Source organism: Homo sapiens, chromosome 2, assembly GCF_000001405.40.
Source record: "Homo sapiens chromosome 2, GRCh38.p14 Primary Assembly".
NCBI classification, from domain to species: domain Eukaryota; kingdom Metazoa; phylum Chordata; class Mammalia; order Primates; family Hominidae; genus Homo; species Homo sapiens.
In genome coordinates, this window is record NC_000002.12 from 153,048,197 (window position 1) to 153,067,503 (window position 19,307).

Consider the following 19,307-nt stretch of genomic DNA (forward strand, 5'->3'; position numbering starts at 1 on the left):
GATGGGGATACATTAAAAGAAAAACTAATGCTACAGTAACCAAAACGGCATGGTACTGGTACAAAAACAGACACATAGACAGATGGAACATGTTACAGAACCCAGAAATAAAGCCTCACACCTACAGCCATCTGAGCTTCAGCAAATTTGACAAAAACAAGCAATGGGAAAAGGGATCCCCATTCAATAAATAGTGCTGAGATAGCTGGCTAGCCATATGCAGAAGAATGAAACTGGACCCCTACCTTTCATCATATATATAAATTAACTCAAGATGAACTAAAGTTTTAAATGTAAGACCTCAAACTATAAGAATCCTACAAGGGAAAGCTAGGAAATATCATTCTCGACATTGGCCTTGGGAAAGAATTTATGGCTAAGTCTTCAAAAGCAATTGCAACAAAAAAGAAATGGACAAATTGGACCTAATTAGACAAAAGAGCTTCTGCACAGCAAAAGAAATTAGCAGAGTAAACAGACAACCTACAGAATGGGAAAAAATATTCACAAACCATGCATCTGACAAAGGTCTAATATTATAATCTATAAGGAACTTAAGCAAAAAGTAAATAACCCCATTAAAAAGCAGGCAAAAGACATAATAGATGCTTCCAAAAAATCAACCTAGGTTCCCTTTATTCAATCAGTGGTGGATTGAATAAAGAAAATGTAGTACATATACACCATGGAGTACTATTCAGCTATAAAAAAGAATGAAATTATGTCCTTTTTGGCAACATGGATGCAGCTGGAGGCCATTATCCTCGGGAAACTTCCAAGTGATTTCACACAGGAACAGAAAGCCAAATACCACATGCTCTCACATAAGTAGAAACTAAACATGGGGTACATATGGACATAAAGATGGGAACAATAGACACTGAGGACTACTAGAGAGGGGAGAAAAAGAGGGTGGAAAAGACTGAGGAACTACCTATTAGGTACTATGCTCAGTACCTTGGTAATGGGATCATTCATACATCAAACATCAGCATCATGCAATACACTCATGTAACAAACCTCTACATGTACCCCCGAATCTAAAATAAAAGTTGAAATTATTTAAAAAACTTAATAATATAAAGGAGATAAAAATAAATAGATAAATTAATTTTGTCGTGGGTTCAAACCCTATATGGGCTATCAAATAAATCTAAGGAAAATAAAAAAGAAAAGAAAAATTAACATTTGGCAAGGACAGAGTTTCCCAGACTTTCCCAGTTCCTTTAGTGTCTCAGTAATTTTTTCCTGCTTCTAGGCCCAAAGAAAAAATTAACAGTCTTGCTTCTTAAGTAATTAGGTCCAAATAACATAAGAATTTGTTATTTAACATAACTTAGTGCTTATTGGGCACTGCACATCTTTTCAAATTTTAAATCAAATTGGACACCTCTGCCCTACCTCTACAGCTTTCTGTACCATATTGATTTCCACGTGATACTTCCTTTTTATCATAGCCACTGCGGAAAACCCAGCTTGAGAAAGATATGACATTTTAAAAAAGAATGTAGTTATCTAATGTTGAAACTCTGAACTTCCTCCAGCTAGTAGTTTGCATGATATCTGACAGATGTTGCTATGCTTCTCTTGAAAATTGAAAATATCTCATGCTGTCCCTGTGAATCTGCTAAGGTACCCTGGGGCCCCTCGGCACATGGACTGGGAACCACAGATTTAGGTATTTTTATAATAAAAGAATAATGGAAGGAGTTGTTGAGGAAAAAAAGAAGAAGGATTTAACTGAAGGAATATTTTTAAAAGAAGAGAAAATGAGGAACAAAACCACAACATACATTTTGATATTTATTAATTTGTTCAGCAGATATTTATTGAGCACCTGTCTTAGGTCTGACATAGGTGTTATGTTAGGGATAGAGTATATAGTGGTGAATGAGGTGGACATGGTCACTGCCCCCAGATAGCTTTCAGTCTAATGTAGGCAACAGGCATTGGAAAAAAGTGAAAAATTATGATAAGAGATGAACATGGAGCTAAGAAAGCATATAAAAGTGAAATTCCATCTAGTCTAAAGGCCAAGCCAAGGCTCCTTGATGAAGTGTGCTCTGGCCTGAGACACAAGGGACAAATAGACTTATCCAGAAGAAACCCTTGGGAGGAAGAGTGTTCTAAGATGAGGTATCAACATCCACAAAGGGCCAGAGTTTAGGAAGAGCCTGGTCTTAAAGGCACAGAAAGAATTTCAGGATACCTGAAGTATTAAAATCCCAAGGAGATGGACCATGCAGGATGAAGCTGGGGAGACAGACACTATATCCTGAAAGGTGTTATAAGACAATTGAGAGATGGGATACTTTGACAGGTTTTAGGAAATAAAATGACACTAACAAATTTATGCTCCAAAAGAACTATACTGGCCACAGGGTGGAGAATTGTTTGTAGAACAAGTCTGACATAGAAGGGTGAGTTAGGGAAGGTGTTGACATAGGTGTTAAATAAAGTGGTGGCTGAGGGTGTTAATGATGGTGCCATTGCTCTAAAGCCGTGAGAGTGTGGTCTTGGGCAGGATCTGCAGCAAAGACAGAAGGATTAGCTTAAGATCATTGTTCTCAAATTTGAGCATGCATCAGAATCACCTGGAGGGCATTTGAAACTACAGATCATTGTGTCCCACTTCCAGAGTTTCTGAGTTGGAAGGCCTGAGGAGGAGCTGGAGGATTTCAATTTCTGACAAGTCCCTTGATGTTGCCAGTTTGGAAACTAGTCTGAGAATCATTGGCCTAAAACCTGCAGTAACGAGAGGTAGGAGAGAAGAAAAGCCACTGAGGGGCTTCATCCTATCTGGCTTTTCTTAGTTTCCTGAAATTGAAGGAAAGGTCATCTATTGAGAGCAGGTGTGGAGGCAACAAAGCAGCATGTCTGAGGACAGAGGATATTTAAGTAGTGAGGGTGTTACAATAGTATATGGGGATAGTGCTGAGCTTTCAGATGAGGTTGACAATCTCAAATTTATTATGACACAAACCTATCCATTTTAGTGATTTTGTATAACAAAATTCAATTTCCCAAGTGCGTGTCCTGAGAAGGCGGACATTTGGGTTCACCCAGAGTTGGTGTTTTTCTGGTTGGTGAGCTAAAGGAGAATGAGGGAGAGTCCCTGAAACATTAAGCCTTGAATATAAACTGAATTAAGGAGAAGAAAAGAACACCCTGAAAAATAAAAAGTTGACAGCTAGAGAAAATTGTTGGCAAGGAATCAATAAGCTTGTCACAGCCTCATTTCTTAACTTATAGTTTGCTAAGATTAGGGAAATGGATTTTGTACATAAAATTGCATTTGTACATTTGCTGAGATTGTCAATTAGTTAGGGAAAGTCATTTACATGCTCCTTGAATTCCAGCAGGTGTGGTTATATTAATGGCATAGAGGAAAAGTAAGAAAAATATATTTAATTAAAATATTGATCATTTGAAAGCAGAGACTGAGTTTCTATTATCTTATGCTCTTTAAGAATTACATCTATAAACCTTATAGAAATCAACTCAGAGATTTTGAGACCAAAGTCACCTATGTATGACTGACTAAAAAGGTTAATGTGATTGAGATTTATTATGCTCATTGCCCCTGCTGCAGTTTAAGACCAAGTGGTGGATGGGTTTTATTAAAAAGGAAGCAATTATACTGAATTTGTTATGTTTCTATACTAGATATCTTAAGCCCCATTGTAGAGCATTTTAGGTCTGAGTCCTTTAGGATAAAATAACTTTATATATCTATAAAAGATATATAAAGATTATATTTATTTTTTAGAGTCATATTCTGGTATAGGTGAGATTACAACTCTAAGTTTTTTGAGAATGCTCTCTTCTGAGATTATATGTAATGATTGTCATGGAAAGGATAGAACACAGATTTTTTATCTCACAGGCACAAAGCTAAGCTTTTGACTAGAAGCTGGATGGTTTTATCATCAGAAGAGAAGGGGGAGGTAGAGCTGTTCTGGACTTACTCTAAGATTTGATCTGGGCCCTTTCTTCTCCTGCTATGCTTGGTTTGGTGGGGGAGCTACCCCTACAGGATGTGCTTTCTGGGTTCTGTCTTGGGCTAGGCCAGTGGGAAACCTTGGCTGGAGATTGGTGCGCTGGAGGAAGGGAGATGTCAGGCTATTTCTTCCCCTCTTTCTCTGCCTTAGTCGCATCTCTGGCACGACTTGTTTCTTCTCTATGACCCCATAACCCTTTGGCAACCATGTCCTGAGTCCCGCTCTGCCAGTGCAGACCCTTGGTTTCCATAATCCACTCCTCACTCTGTTCCCTCTAGCTCTAGGGTGGTCACCATTTCTCCTGTTTCTAACCTCTGTGCTGCCTCCCTGATTTCTCTCCCAGATCTTCATCCCTATGTTAAATTGTCTTTGTTTTAAATGCTTAGAAAGGTTTCTGTTTTCCTAGTTTGACCTTGATTGATAGAAATGTCTAACTTATAAAGTCTGGTAAAGACTCTCTAACAATAAGTATTTGTAAAGAAAATAAGGCAGTGACTGACAGGTGGTTAATACATTTTCAAGTGGGAAAAGCAACTTCACAAAGCTGTTAGGCATCCTCTTTCTAAATGATACAAGAAAAAGGTCACAGGCATCTCAGAAACAATATATGGACGCATTAAATAGCTGCAATCACTTTCCTAACTCCTGATAAATCATGTTGGCGGAAAAAATTTTGAAAAGAATGGAGCCAAAGGCGTGCTGATTTGAATCATTTTGATAGTAGTTTGAGGAAAATAACAGTCATCAGAATAATTCCCAACTCTGAAGTACTTATTGCCACAGTTATAAGTAGTTCAAGGACTAGCATTTACATTTTATGCAAGGAATGTTTTTCTGAAGGCCACCCATAATTCAAAACTCTTATGGACTAAATTTTCCACAAGCCTGAATAAATCTAGCTTGTTTTTACCATTACAGGGTGCCATGACAATTGACTGGCCTCCTTCATGGTCTTTTATCATATCTGACTTTCCCCCATCATTATTGATTTTGGCATATTCCTGCACTAACACTAGCCCCATTACTTGATCAATAATATACAGCGTATTATATATAAGGAAAAATTAAAGTATGGTAAGAGTGAATGAAAATAGCACAAATATTTCCTGCACAATACTGATGCACATAAACAAAATACGATTACTGGCTACGGAAGAAAGATTGTGGGTGGGTAGTTTACATAAAAGTTTTCATTTACATAAAATCCTCATCTGTTTGGCAATTATGCACATATCATTTACAATGAAGTTGGCCTGCCAGCTCTGAAATAATAAAATTCTTGGTGAGCTTTTACAATTTAGGAGGTTTAAACAATTTTTTCCCCAAATTTTATGCTGGAATTGAGAGTTTAGCCACATGTTATTTTGCATCATGTCAAATTTGCACAGTTCATTTAACATAAAATGAAAACTCAAGATCATTGAAAAAAGTTTATACTGATCTAAAGTCAAAGGTCATATATGCACTCAGAGATTTTAAAAATCATTATGTAAAGTTTTTAGAAAAAACATAAAAGAATTGTTCCATTCAAGTTTTGAATAAAAATAGGATTTGATTAAACAGAATTTGGTAAGTGTGAATACCAGTGTAAAAGTGTCATTCATATACACATACCCTTTTGAATTTTACATTCACTTATTATTCTTTTAAATTTAATAATTAAGGATAGCGTTGGAACTTTAATTGAAATGTTATTCATGTCTGATAATTTCTCTTTACCCCGCAGCCTTTTTCCTATTTGGGCTAAAACACAGATTCGGGTATCCATTACTTTAGGGAAAGGCAATACTTTTGGCAGAAAAAATTTTTTTAAGTTTGAAGAACTTGGGCATTTGTAATGAATGACTTAAAAAGTCAGAGCACTGAAGTACTTGGTGCATGGAGTTATGCCATGAGCAATAGGTATAACCAAATACTGCCAAAGACAGTTTTCTGTCCTAAATCAGATTTATCCTAAATCAGATAAAAATCTCAAGAACTGGGAGAAAGGGAGTCTGAGAGAAGGACAGAAAAGAGCTCTAAGTATGTCTTTTGATAAGTGAACCTGGATTCTGCTCCTTCTGGCTGGAAGGAAGCAGATGGAAGTTAAAATCCCAGATCAGTTTGTGTATTCGGGCTCAGAGGCAACCGAAGCCTTAGTTCAGGAGTGGAGCCCAGGGAGACAGCACGTTATGAAGGGAAATGCTCCTGAATTCCTGTTTTTCAAAAATTTTGACCCATGACCTACTAAGAAAGACATTTTACACTGTGGCCCTAGACACAAAAAATGTTCATAAAACAATATTTGTGATGCTGGCTTATGTTTTATTCTCTTATTTTATTCTTTCATTAAAAGCTTCTGATGTGACCTAAATTGATTTCACAGATTAAAACCTATAGTTTTATAGTAAAAGAGAAATTTACACCATAATAATATGTACAAAAGAGCTCATCTGAAAATCAAAATTGAGTAGAAAGGAATGCTAATATCTTGCCTTTTGTAACTGTGCATGAACTTTTTGAACCATTTGACATAATCAGTGCAATATGGCTCACCTAATCGTAGCTTCCTGAATTGTAAGGGAAATGCATGTTTGTAAATCAACTCTTGGAATATCAGCTTTGCCAACTCAAGGCTATCACAGGGTAATGAGTACTTCTTCAGGAAAGAGTGGATAATGTTTAAGATTCTTTCAAATCATAGAGATGTACTCTATTTTATGCACATTGAAGGTATTATTAGAGTGGTAACATTTTGCCAGCATTGAAATAAGGGCCTGAGCTAGATTAACTTGTGCTGTAGTCCCTAGACTTCTATATCATGTTAATCACTCCTTTCTCCTCATGCATTTATGTTCTTTCCTTGTCTCATCAGTTACTCTCGAGGATAGTTGTACCTTGGCAGAAATGGAGTCAAATTCTGCCAAAAAATTAGACTGTTGATTTTCTATAATATTAAATCATTTTATTTTTTGGCCTGTAACTTAAACAAAATCAAGGTGAGACCTAGAAACAAGTTTCTTAAGCCTCCAGAGATATTGACCTAGGACAATAATAAGGCAATTGGGAAGAGAATTCTTGATTTACTTGTCAAGGGAGGTTGTTATGTTGACATACCAGTGGGAGCAGTGTGACTTAACCAGTAATGACAAGAAAGTGACAGAGGCACAGGCTGATGGCAAAGTTTCATTTGATCCCAAACCTCAGGCAGCCCGTGGGGTCCCAAACAAAGGCCTTTTGTTTATTTACATCAATTATCCAGATGACCCAGACTCACTCTATAGTTTCTTGAGCTCATTGAGGACCTGGTAGGAGCAAGATCTTTGGGCAAAAGATAATAAAATGGAATAATAACACTTGTGCTGAGAAACCTTTCCCTCTGTTCATGTATTCCTTGTCACATACTTATAATTAGAAAATCCTTGCTTTTTAAAGTAAGACATCTTACATCTTAACAAAGTCTCCTGTCTTAACTAAGAAGTCACAAAGTAAATCCCTCTAGGGGCCAGTTAGAAAACACACAAGTGGATGAAACCTGGTTTGAGAAAGAGTACAGGCAATTATAGAAAACTGGAAAAATCTATGTTCTACCTAAGGGCAACTAAACACACATTTAAAAAGAAATCACTGTGTAGGCTTAAAACGACTGTGGCTGGATTCAGCTTTGGTCTACAGTTTGCCTTAAATCAAGAAACAAATAATTCAGTTCATTTCAGAGGAGTACAGTCAGAATATAAATATAGGTTCCACTGCTCCAACTGAACTCAGTTCTGTTGGAAGCCCCCAGGTCTCAAATCAACTTCTGGTGATCCAGACTTTAAGCAGACATTAAGTCTGGGGAAGGAAGTGTGCAATTATGGTAGGGATGGAGTGGGAAGGGAGAAGGGTGGAAATTTATGTCAGCTTCACCTGGAAGCTCTTTCAAAATGCATACATTCGTTCATTTCCTCTCCTACCCCTTTGTTGTGCTGTGAACCACCCCAACCAAATCTGAATTCCCCTTCTCACATAAGAATTATTGCAATAATGAGCTACTGTTACTGCCGATGATAGAATGTGGTATTGCTTTGATGTGAGAGATGTAAACAAGGTTGGAAACCATTCCTTTAAAGATCACTTACTCAAATAAGATTTTGACTATTATTACATTATTAATGTATTATGAATTATTACATTCTTTTTCTTTCTAGCTCCAATATCTAGTCCCAATAAAGAATTAGAAGGAAATCTGATTTCATCTTGTAAAAACCCTATTCTTCTCCTTTGAATTAGTATGTCTTCATTATTTCAGATATAATTCTTAAGAAAAATAATCAGAACATAAATCTGAAAAACTTTTCCACAACAAGATCCCCCTTCCCTGGCCAAGCAAAACATAAAAAAAAAATTCTCAGGATGCCAAAGATGTAGCATCATATTTATGCAAATGAAGTTTATATTTAAAAAAAAATCTATACAATTGTAAGGCAGCAAAATTTGCCAGAAACTAAAGAAAAAGTTTAAAACATACTTTTATTAATTATATGCAAAGAGTAGACATATAGGTAGAAGCATATCTCATTTTATTGTGCTTCACTTTCGTGCACCTCACAGATATTTTTTTTTAACAAATTGAAGGTGTGTAACAACCCTGCATTAAGCAAGTCTGCTGGCATCATTTTTTTCAGCAGCATGAGCTGACTTTGCGTCTGTTTCACATTTTGATAATTCTTGAAATATTTCAAAATTTTTATTATTATATTTGTTATGGTGAGCTAGGATCAGTGAACTTTGATGTTACTCTTGTAATTGTTTTGGGACACCACAAACTGCACACATATAAGATGAAAAACGTGACAACTGTTGTATGTGTTCTGATTGTCCTACCTATTGGACATTCTCCTATCTTGTGCTGTCAGTGAAGTATTGACATCCCCCACTATTATTGTACTGCTGTCTATCTCAGCTCTTAGGTCTAGTAGTAATTGTTTTATAAACTTGGGAGCTCCAGTGTTAGGTGCATATATATTTAGGATTGTGATGTTTTCCTGTTGAACTAATCCTTTTATCATTATATAATGTCCCTCTCTGTCTTTTTTTTAACTGTTGTTGCTTTAAAGTCTGTTTTGTCTGATATAAGAAAAGTGACTCCTGCTCACTTTTGGTGTCCATTTGTATGGAATATCTCTTTCCACTCCTTTACCTTAAGTTTACATGAGTTCTTATGTGTTAGGTGAATCTCTTGAAGACAGCACATACTTAGTTGGTGGATTTTTATCCATTCTGCCATCTGTATCTTTAAGTGGGGCATTTAGGCCATTTACATTCATTGTTAGTATTGAGATATGAGGAACTGTTCCATTCATCATGCTCGTTATTGTTTATGTCTTTTGTCTTCAGATACCAGGGCAAGTAGAGAAAGCCCATCAGGTGAGGGCAGGTTTGGGTGGGTCTGAGTTCAGACTCTCCTTAGGCAGGCCTCGCTGTTGCTGTTGTGGGGGTTAAGAGCATGGTTCTCAGGCCAATGGAGTTATGTTTCCAGTGGGACTATGGCTGGCTCTGCTGCATCATACATGTCATCAGGGAAGTGGGGGAAGCTAGCAGTGACAGGCCTTACCCAGTTCTCACATAGCCAGCAAGGTCATTTTCACTCCCCCATGCCCTCCCTCCCCACTACCAACAGCACTGAGTTTATGTCCAGGCAGCTGATGAGCAAGGCTGAGCTCTTCCCCAAGTCTACAAGCCCCCCAGCTGACAAAACAAGCAGGACTCTCAGACCTGGCCACTCCCCACCTGCATGCACCATTGGCTGCAGCTTCTACACTCATATCTGTACTTCCTATTTTCCTGCCTCCAGATTCTGCTCAGCAAAATTTATGCTCAGTTGAAATTATTACGAAGTTCAGCTGGAATCTTGTTCACCCTGTAGCCCCACCCCAAGGCTGGCTGTCTTCCCATCCCCAAAGACCCTGTGAGATAAAAACCAGGAATGGCGGCCAGGTGTGGTGGCTCATGCCTGTAATCCCAGTACTTTGGGAGGCCGAGGCGGGTGGATCACGAGGTCAGGAGATTGAGACCATCCTGGCTAACACGTTGAAACCCCGTCTCTACTAAAGTCAAAAAAATTAGCCGGGCGTGGTGGCGGGCGCCTGTAGTCCCACCTACTCGGGAGGCTGAGGCAGGAGAATGGCGTGAACCTGGGAGGCAGAGGTTGCTCACTCTTGCAGTGAGCCGAGATTGCGCCACTGCACTCCAGCCTGGGCGACAGAGCAAGACTCTGTCTCAAAAACAAAACAAAACAAACAAACAAAAAAACAGGAATGGCTTTACTGGGCTTGAGCTGGGGACCGGCAATGACTATGGAGCTCTTCCTGCTGCTGCTGCTTCTACTTCTTCAGTTTGGCAGCTGAGTAAGGACAGTTTAGGGAAAGAAAGGTGCTGAACAAGGGATACTAACTTCTCAGGGCACATTTCGTTCCTGCATTTCCTTCAGCTCCCTAAATCTGTTTCAACTTTAGGTCAGCTCAAATCTTATCCTGTGATCTGAATTTTCAGGGTTCTCAGTGGGTGTGTGTGTTTGGAGGCAGACATACCCCACCTCACACTTTGGGAACTCACAGTTTTTTGGTTATCTTGCAGAGGCTGCAGCTGCAAGCCACTTCTTTCAAAGGGTCTGTGAATTCTTTCCTGTTTTTCTGGTATATTACCGTGGTGGTTCTTGGAGCAAAAGTTCACAATGTGAGTCTTCACACACTGTTCTCTCTGTTCAGGTGGGAGCTGCATGCTAATCCTGTCTCCTATCCATCATTTTCCAAATGAAGTATTTTTTAGTTAATGTAGTACACTTAAAAAAAAGTAATGCTATTGCACACTTAATAGACTACACTATAGTGTAAACATATATTTGTATATGCATTAAGAAGCAAGAAAAAATCATGTGACTCATTTTATTATTATATTCATTTTCCTTTGGTGGTCTAGAGCTGAATCCACAGTATCTCCATTGTATGCCTATGTATGTATAATAAGAGGGAGAAAATGTTATTCTTCAGAATTCCAGGGCCTGGAAAGGGCAGACTATCTGGACTGAGCTGCTTCCTAAAAAATCAGTTATTTGTGATGGGAGAAGGATGGGGAGTACTAGAATCTCTATTCTGCAGGGGTGTGTTGGGGGAGGAATTTCTAGGGGAGGAATTTCTAGGGGAGGAAGTGAAATAAAGACCAGTGGCTCAGATTCTTTGTAGAAACTCTTCAAGTTTCAGTAAAGCTACAGAGCTCCTATATTATCACAAATATGACTGGACTTCTAAAATGGAAAACAGTATGTCCATGTAGTGATTCTTGAAGTCTACTTTACACTGCAAGTTTTTTCTGCCTCTCACTTAGACTACTGCAGCTGTGTCCTGAGAAGTTAATATCCCTTGTTCAGCACCTTTCTTTCCCTAAACTGTCCTTACTCAGCTGCCAAACTGATACTTCCAAAGTATTTTTAAAACTGTGCCCTATTTTTAAAATAACAGGTGGTGACTGTTGGTTACATTACAATGGAACACCAAACTTTGTGTCACGACATGCACTGGGCTCTTTTGCGATGATGTCCCAATATAGCTTTCTAAGTTTATCACCTGTCATTCTCTCCTCCAAACTCCTCAGTGAAGCTTTGTCTAAGCAATGACGGGCTTGTTGACATTCCCAAAGGAAACATGCTCAGTCATGCTTTTGTCTCTCTTTGTTCACACTGAGAAACCTGTTGTTTAGTGACTCATGTCAGAAATATCCCTAGTGAAAACTTCAGTTACATTAAGGAGGAGAAAAGAATGTTAGACAAGGAAACTAAGAGTCAAACACAGATAATATTGATAGTATTGATAAATTTATCTTTTTTAGTTTGGTTATAAATGTTTACATATTATTTTTTTAAAAATTATAAAAAGGAGTATTTTCCCCTAGTTTCTTGGGTAAGAGTTGGATGCTGAATTGGCTTCATTAAATATATAATCAAAAAACTAGCATCATAAATCCAGGTTGGAAATCAGTTTTTCCAACATTCCTATTAGCAATAGTGTCTTACTTTTTCTGTACAGCCATGGCAACCAGTACTCTGCAAGTTATTTAGGTATAGTTCACATAGGGTCTCTTTTGTGGAAAAACTGCAAGCAATATGTTTTCCTTATGAAATGAACTGAGTGAAATGAGATTATGCAATATGAGACTATCAAGTTGTATTATGTAAATGCAAATAAAATATATTAGCTCTAAAGTGCCACTGGGTATTAAGAAGAGCCTAATGGGATTTACATGAATTCTCATAAATAAATCTCCTCAGGTTACCCAAGTGCTCAGATATGAGGCAAAGGACAGTGAACTGCAGTCTTTGAAATTTTATGAGATCATAGTATTCTTTGACTATTTTATACAGAAATCACTTAATACCATTCTTCACAAAATGATGAAAGATTTTAAGATTGTTGCTTCAGTCATCAGTATTTAGTTAGCATCTAAATGTTATTTGACCCAGTTGGATTTCACTGGTTTGTAGATAAGGTAGGTCATTCTGAGAACAACATTATATAGTCAAATTCATGCCAGGTTGTTGTCATTGAAAAATGAAAGTAATATTGTCTCTTATTTAATGGGAAACTGTGGATAAAATGTAACTCACTTGAATCAGAGCTTCCATATGGTAAAAGATTATAGTGCGTAGCCTTCTGCATTTTATTAAGTAGTCAAGGTGAGAAGGTTATTTAGGCATTTGAGTATTGAAATTGGAACACTGAAAACTGAAGTAACCTTTTTGTCCCCCCTGAATAATTTGAATAATATAAATCTTATCATTTCTTAAAGCTTTTCTATTTCTTTTAAGGGCAATGTTTAGATTTCAGATTTTTATGTTTGTTTCCTGCCACTTATTTTTACTGTGATCTACTACCTTCATCTGTATGCATATAAATTTATGTGTAATGTATACCTAGTGTATCAATTTTAGAATCAACCTTTTTACAGTTTTTTGTTACTGTAGGCAGTGCTGTGCTGGTAAATACGTAACAACAGAATTTCTGGAGGCAGAAGCCATGATTTGCAATATATGCCAATTTCCATGGTGTAAATATTTCCACCAGGGCTGATTTCAGATTATCAAAGTGACATCACTGAATGCAGAATTGGAAAGAGATGTGCAGGAACTCACCATTATATAGTATTTCTGCTGTACAGATACAATAGGCATAATGTCAACAGCATACGTAATAGTAAAATGCAGCAACATAATTAGGTGATGCTTTTTGAGTATTTATTACCTTTGTTTTTGATAAGACGTATTTCATTTCAAGTTAATATAATTTAATTTGTAATAGTGGCTGTAACAACCAGCTCACAAGATTCTTGACAATTTAACAACCTCCTTGCTCATCCAGGTCTAAATGTGGCTCCAGCACATTGCCAATTGTGCGCGATGTACTGTAGTATGGATTTCAGACAAGGCTTTGAGTGGTTAAGCTTTGAATATGTTTATAAATCTGTCAGTTCCTTTCAGAAATCAGAAAGCAGAAAATTAACTAAATGAAGGAGAACTGCCTGCAGTCCATTGTTGAAACACGTAAATGATGCATTATCATTCTTTGATTCTCAGATGTCCTCCCTTCCCTCTATGTGAACATCTCTGAAATTCAGATGCATTTTATGATTTCGGTACACAGTTTCTCATAGTTTATTTTACTTTGCAATGTTTTCCTACAGTACCTAAAATAATTGTGCATCTCAACAAGTTACAGCATCTTAGATTTGACAAAATATGGCATTTTAAAGTATGAGAAATTGCTGATTTTACTAAGACACTGCTAGATTATTTTTTTTCTTATTGGCAAATGCAAGAAACTACCTTCAGGCTCCAGGAGCTGAGTATCTTAGCATTAATTCAAAATATCTATGTACTGTGTTAGTATAAACAAGAAAGGCCCAATCTATCAAATGAAGGAAATTGACGTTAAAATGTTCTAGCTCTTAAAGCTAAAACTATCCGATTCTGATTAGAAAACTTTTTTTATCTTCATTATAGCTTCAGTGTTAACATCCACTGTGTGAAGAATGAAACATTAGCGTGTCTATTTCCCATAGTAATTGGCAAAATATTTTCTCCTCATCATAGCTTCAACATTAACATTTACTGTGTAAAGGGTGAAGCATGTATTAATATCTTTTAATGTTCACTGTGTAAAGAGTGAAGCATGTATTAATATCTTTTTGTAGCAATTGGCTATTTGCACTGTGTGTTTTAGAGATGTAAATAAGGGGTTGTTAATGCAGAAAAAACCTACAGGTGACATTTGAAATGTTACCTGGGTATTCAGACCCAGAGAGATATAAATTGCCTTCAGTTCATTTCTGCTGCCAAATCATTCCATCTTCCAACTTTAGTGAAAAGCCATGTTGTATTCATGTCAAGGCAGAGAAACAAATAGTTCTTTCTGTTTTCTCCCTGCACATGGCCTGCTGGGGCAAATCAGTTTATCTGCATCATCTTCACACATATTAATGGAATGAAGGTAGGAAAAGCAAAGGAATGGTGCTTTTCTTGTGGAGTTTGTTAGTTAATGTTTTTTTCTTTTAAAATAGAAAATAATATTTATGTAACATTTTCCTGTTTAAAACATTCTCCATATGTAGTGAAAATATTTGAAAATGACAGAAAAGTTTAAAAATGAAATGAAAATCATCCATAATTCCAGCAATCGGAAATTAAATTTTATGCCTAACTTTTTTTGTGAATAGCTCTGATTTTTCTAGAGAAAAAATTATTTTAAGTGATATCATGTCAAGAGAATGTACATTTATAAGGCTTTGTAAAGGCCTTTAGGGAATTAGATGAGTTTATACTCCTAACAATGCTATATGAGCGTGCCTATTTTCCTGCACCCATATTAACATCAGTTATTATCACTTAATTTGCCAAGTTAATAGCAAACAATGGTACCTCATTGTTTTAATTTAATTTGTATCTGTTTGATTATGGATGCTTTGATTTATGAGTCTTTGATGCTTAACCTTTGATTAAGGTTGGGCTGCCTTGTATATGTTTGTTAGCTTTCTATATTTCTTTTATGAAGAGCTTATGTCCTTTGTCCACTTTATTTTTGAATGCTTACATTTTACATGCCCATGTATAAAAACATCTCTATTTAAAGAATAAATGTTCTTGCCATGCATATTTCAAATCTTGCTTCCAAAACATAGGTTTTTAAAATTATAAAATAATGATGCTCATGATTGAAATTTTAGAAACTGAAAAGTATAGAGATAAAAGTCACGATAATCTCTCTTTGTCATAGATATAATGTTTATGTTCCTCCAGATTCATAGGTTGACATCCTAACCCTCAATGTAATGGTATAAGAGATAGTGCCTTTGGGAGGTAATTAGGTTGTTGGGGCAGAGCCCTCATGAATAAGCTTAGTGCCCTTAAAAAGGAAGATGGAAGGAGACCCCCTGCCTCTTCCACCATGTGAGACCTCCTTGAGAAGGCACTATCTATGAATCAGGAAGCAGACTCTCACCAGACATGGAATCTGTCAGAACCCTGATCTGGACTTCCAGCCTCTAGAACCGTGAGAAGTTTCTGTTGTGTATATGCCACCTCATCTGTGGTGGGAACAACCTGAACTGACTAAGACACTCCTTCTTGATATAATTATTGTTTACATTTTGGGGACTTTTCCTTTTGGCTTTGCTTTTGCACTTTCACATACACTCTCTACTTACAAATTCAAATTTATGTAGTATGTTATGTTTATATCCTCATTTTTTAGTTAATATCAGAATATGACATTATAAAAGTGATACATGCATTTCTTAGTTTCAGTTTCTCCAAATGCTGACCCCGAGCCAAGGACTTGAGTGTGTATGTTGAACACATACATGCAAAACAGGCAAATCCAAGGCCTAGTAGGTTCGATGGTAAAGATCCAATGAGCCACTCTTAGATTTAGACCATTCATTACTTGCGTAGCAGTGAAAAGATGAATGAGCCACAAGGCCATGGCCTTGATCCGTCTCCCACTCTCTGAAGCAAAAGGGGCCAGATGACTACAACACCACTCCTAGAACTCCATCTAGATGGGCACAGGTAGGTTTATGTTCTTCAACTCTGTTCTGGTGGGGCTGGAGTGGAAGATCCATATCTCACCTGAATTGGGGAGGGGATGAGAAATTGTCCTGTGATCGTCGACAAGGAGGTGAGTGGGAGGTGGCCTCATATCAACTCCTTACAGACCTTCCATCTTCTCATGTTTTGGACAGATCACAAGGCATTCCTTAAAGACTGAGTAAGTTATGGTTCAAGCCTGCAAGGTTGCCAGGTGCCACAGATGAGCTGTTTGCCTACACCAGGTGGTCTATATAGAAAGTGACCCAGGAAGCAAAAGTAATGAAATGGAAAAAGTAAAACATGGAAGAGAAAAAAAACAATAAAATGTGCATGAACGAATGTGTCATTGTTGTGGGTGACTGTGGCTCAGTCCCAATGGGAACCCTCCTGAGGAACTGTACAGACTGTGCCTCAGGCATGTGAGGGGACAGAACCTGGGATGTTTATCCCCCTACTCTGTCTCTCATTGGTGGTGGGTTTCCCATCATTAACTCCCAGGCTTTTCCGTGGGAAGTTTTGCATGTGGGTTAAGCAAGGTCTAAAGAACCCAGAGAAAATCCCTGGTCAGAGAAGTTGAGAGATGCAGGCCTTAAGGTTGGGATCTGTCAGTAGTTTGGGAACTGCCCACTGAAGCTGCAGGTGAACTGGGAGGTGGGCAGAAAGGCTATGGGAGGCAGAAAGAACATTGATGAAAAACCCAAGCATTTTAAAGAAAGAAAAATAAACAACATTAATTCCCTTACTATGAGATAATTCTATTAACATTCCAATCATATTTCTCTGCATCTTCTTCAATAATTAGATGATACTGTGTATTCAATTTTGCATTGTTTTTATACCCTGTACTATTTTATAATAATTCACTCACTACTATAAGTGCTTTGTAAACATATTTTTCCATAGACATTAAAGCTTATTTGGGGATAAAATACACATAGAACAGAATTACAAAAGTGACACAGTAAGTTAAAGGATTATTGTTCGAAAAGTTGTGTGGCTATTTCATTTAGGTAATTAGTGAAGAGAGAGATAGGATGTGAGGAGGTAGCAGAAAATGCTTCATGGTGGAAAATAATTTTAAGCTGGATGCTGAAGGACTAAGCAGAGAATGGCCCAGATGTTTAAGAGTTATCAGCTAAATTAGACCTCAGATAATGGTATGAGTGCAGATTCTGAAACATGATTAAGCAAACTCTATTAGGAGATTGAGGTAGGCAGAATAATGACCCTCACCCCACCCCACGAAGATGTCCACTTCCTCATCCTTGGAAACTGTGAATATGTTACATTATAATACAAAGGGCAATTTAGGTTGCAGATGGAAGTAAATTTGCTTATAAGGTGACCTTAAGTTAGGGAGATCAGCCTGTATGATCAGGTGGGCCCAATCTCATCCCCAGAATTCTTAAAAGGGGAAGGCAGAGGCAGAAGAGTTGTCAGAGTGATAAGAGAAGAATGCAGTCTGTCATTGCTGGCTTTGAAGATGGAGGAAGGCCCCCTCACACCCACCCCAAGGAAGAACCCCCACCTCCACCCCATGCTTTTTTCCCTAACCAAGAAAGTTTTGTGTGTTCATGTATTCCCATTGTTAATGCTCCTTCACAGTCATGTTGCATCTCTGTTGTCTGAGTATTTATTATCTTTCCTCTTATTCTACCCTTTTTGTCTTTTCTTCCACATTCTAAGAGAGGTACTCAATTTTGACTTCCACATCTCTAATTTTATTTTCTGCATTCGATTACATTTAGCTTTACATTTTTATGTATTCCTGTAAGATTTTCTTGTCTCACCCTTTCCCCTGACCTATCTTGTGACTCATATTTTTGTAGTCTTCTCCCCCAGTTTATTCTACTTATGGGTTTTTACTCCTGGTGATAGAGGCTTTTCTTCTTTTTTTAAAGCATCCTATTAAAAACTTTACAGAGTTAAACTCTTCTTGTTTTTATTCTGGATTTTTGAGTAAGTCATTTTAAGAGGCCTGTGCTTTCTTTCACTTATTAAGATGATGTTCCTTGTCCTTTGTTATGAGTAGTTTTTCATTGACTGCTCTCTCTCACTTTACTTCTCTCCCTGCTTATTTTTTCTTTCTCCCTCCTGGAATTTGTATGAGAGATCTATTCTGCTGTAATATTTATGAATAAAATGAATCCATGAGATATTCTTGGACCAACTTTCTATCTAAGAGGTAATACAGAGAAGTAAACGATGTGCAACAAATAATGTGATTAGTTGATTTGGTTTGAGAAAGACAAGACGGGTGGGGAAGAGAGGCTGCAGAGAAGAGATTTAAACTGTTGAAGTTGAACATTTCTCAAAAGTTCACAAGTGAATCAGGAGATATAGACTTCAGGTCCAGTATGAGTAAAGATACTGAATGTGTCCATCTGAACTTCAGTTAGAACTTCTAATTCTACCCTGTTTATTTCTTTTGTTCTATATTTTCCATTACATGTACCTCTAAGCTGCATTATGGGTAACTTCTTCAAATGTATCATCTAGTTCATGAATTCTGCTGTTTATCCCACCCATTGTGTTTTTGATTTAAACAATAAAATGAAACTTGTTCCTAAAAGTTCCACTAGATTAAAAAAAAAAATCTACCTGGTCACTTTTGCTCTCAGTGATGGCTCATTTTTGTGATGACATCTTCTGTTTTTGTAGACATTTTATACATATTTTATAACTTTTATTCTTACAAAGTAAATATGTAAAGTGTCTAGGGATTGCTGCTTATTTTTGCTGACACTCATGGTGACTTGTTTTCTTGTTGGCATGGTAAACTTTAATTGCGAGTTTATATTTGTTTGAAATTATTCTGTGAGCATCCTGGGGGCCTAACTAGAGAATGCTTTCCTGAACAGAGGATGCATATTTCTCTCTGCCTGGCACAACCAAGCTAGGACTAATTTAGTGCCCTTCATGTAACTCCGGATTAAAGAGATCATCTTAGATTGAGCTCCCTCTATTGTGCAGGTGCTTCTGTGCCCTACAGTACATATGAAGACATTAGAAGCACTAATTTCACAGTTGGAGGGTAGATTCACAAGTTTCAAGTGGTTTACTATTGTATGAGGAGTTCTCTTTTTCCTTGATAATCTGCCATTGCATTATGATGTATCTTTCCTTTTCTCTTTCTGCTAGGTACTTGAAATGCAATTTTTTTAATTTTTGAGATATAGTCTCACTCTGTCGCCAGGCTGGAGTGCAGT

General features: G+C 37.3%; 1 annotated feature.

The window, feature by feature from the left end:
* Window positions 11,372-11,935: an enhancer, noted in NCBI's record as "NANOG hESC enhancer chr2:153916082-153916645 (GRCh37/hg19 assembly coordinates)". NCBI's record gives its function as "activates a minimal SCP1, AML or CMV promoter by ChIP-STARR-seq in naive H9 embryonic stem cells {active_cell/tissue: H9 hESC(naive)}" and the evidence as "EXISTENCE:reporter gene assay evidence [ECO:0000049][PMID:30033119]".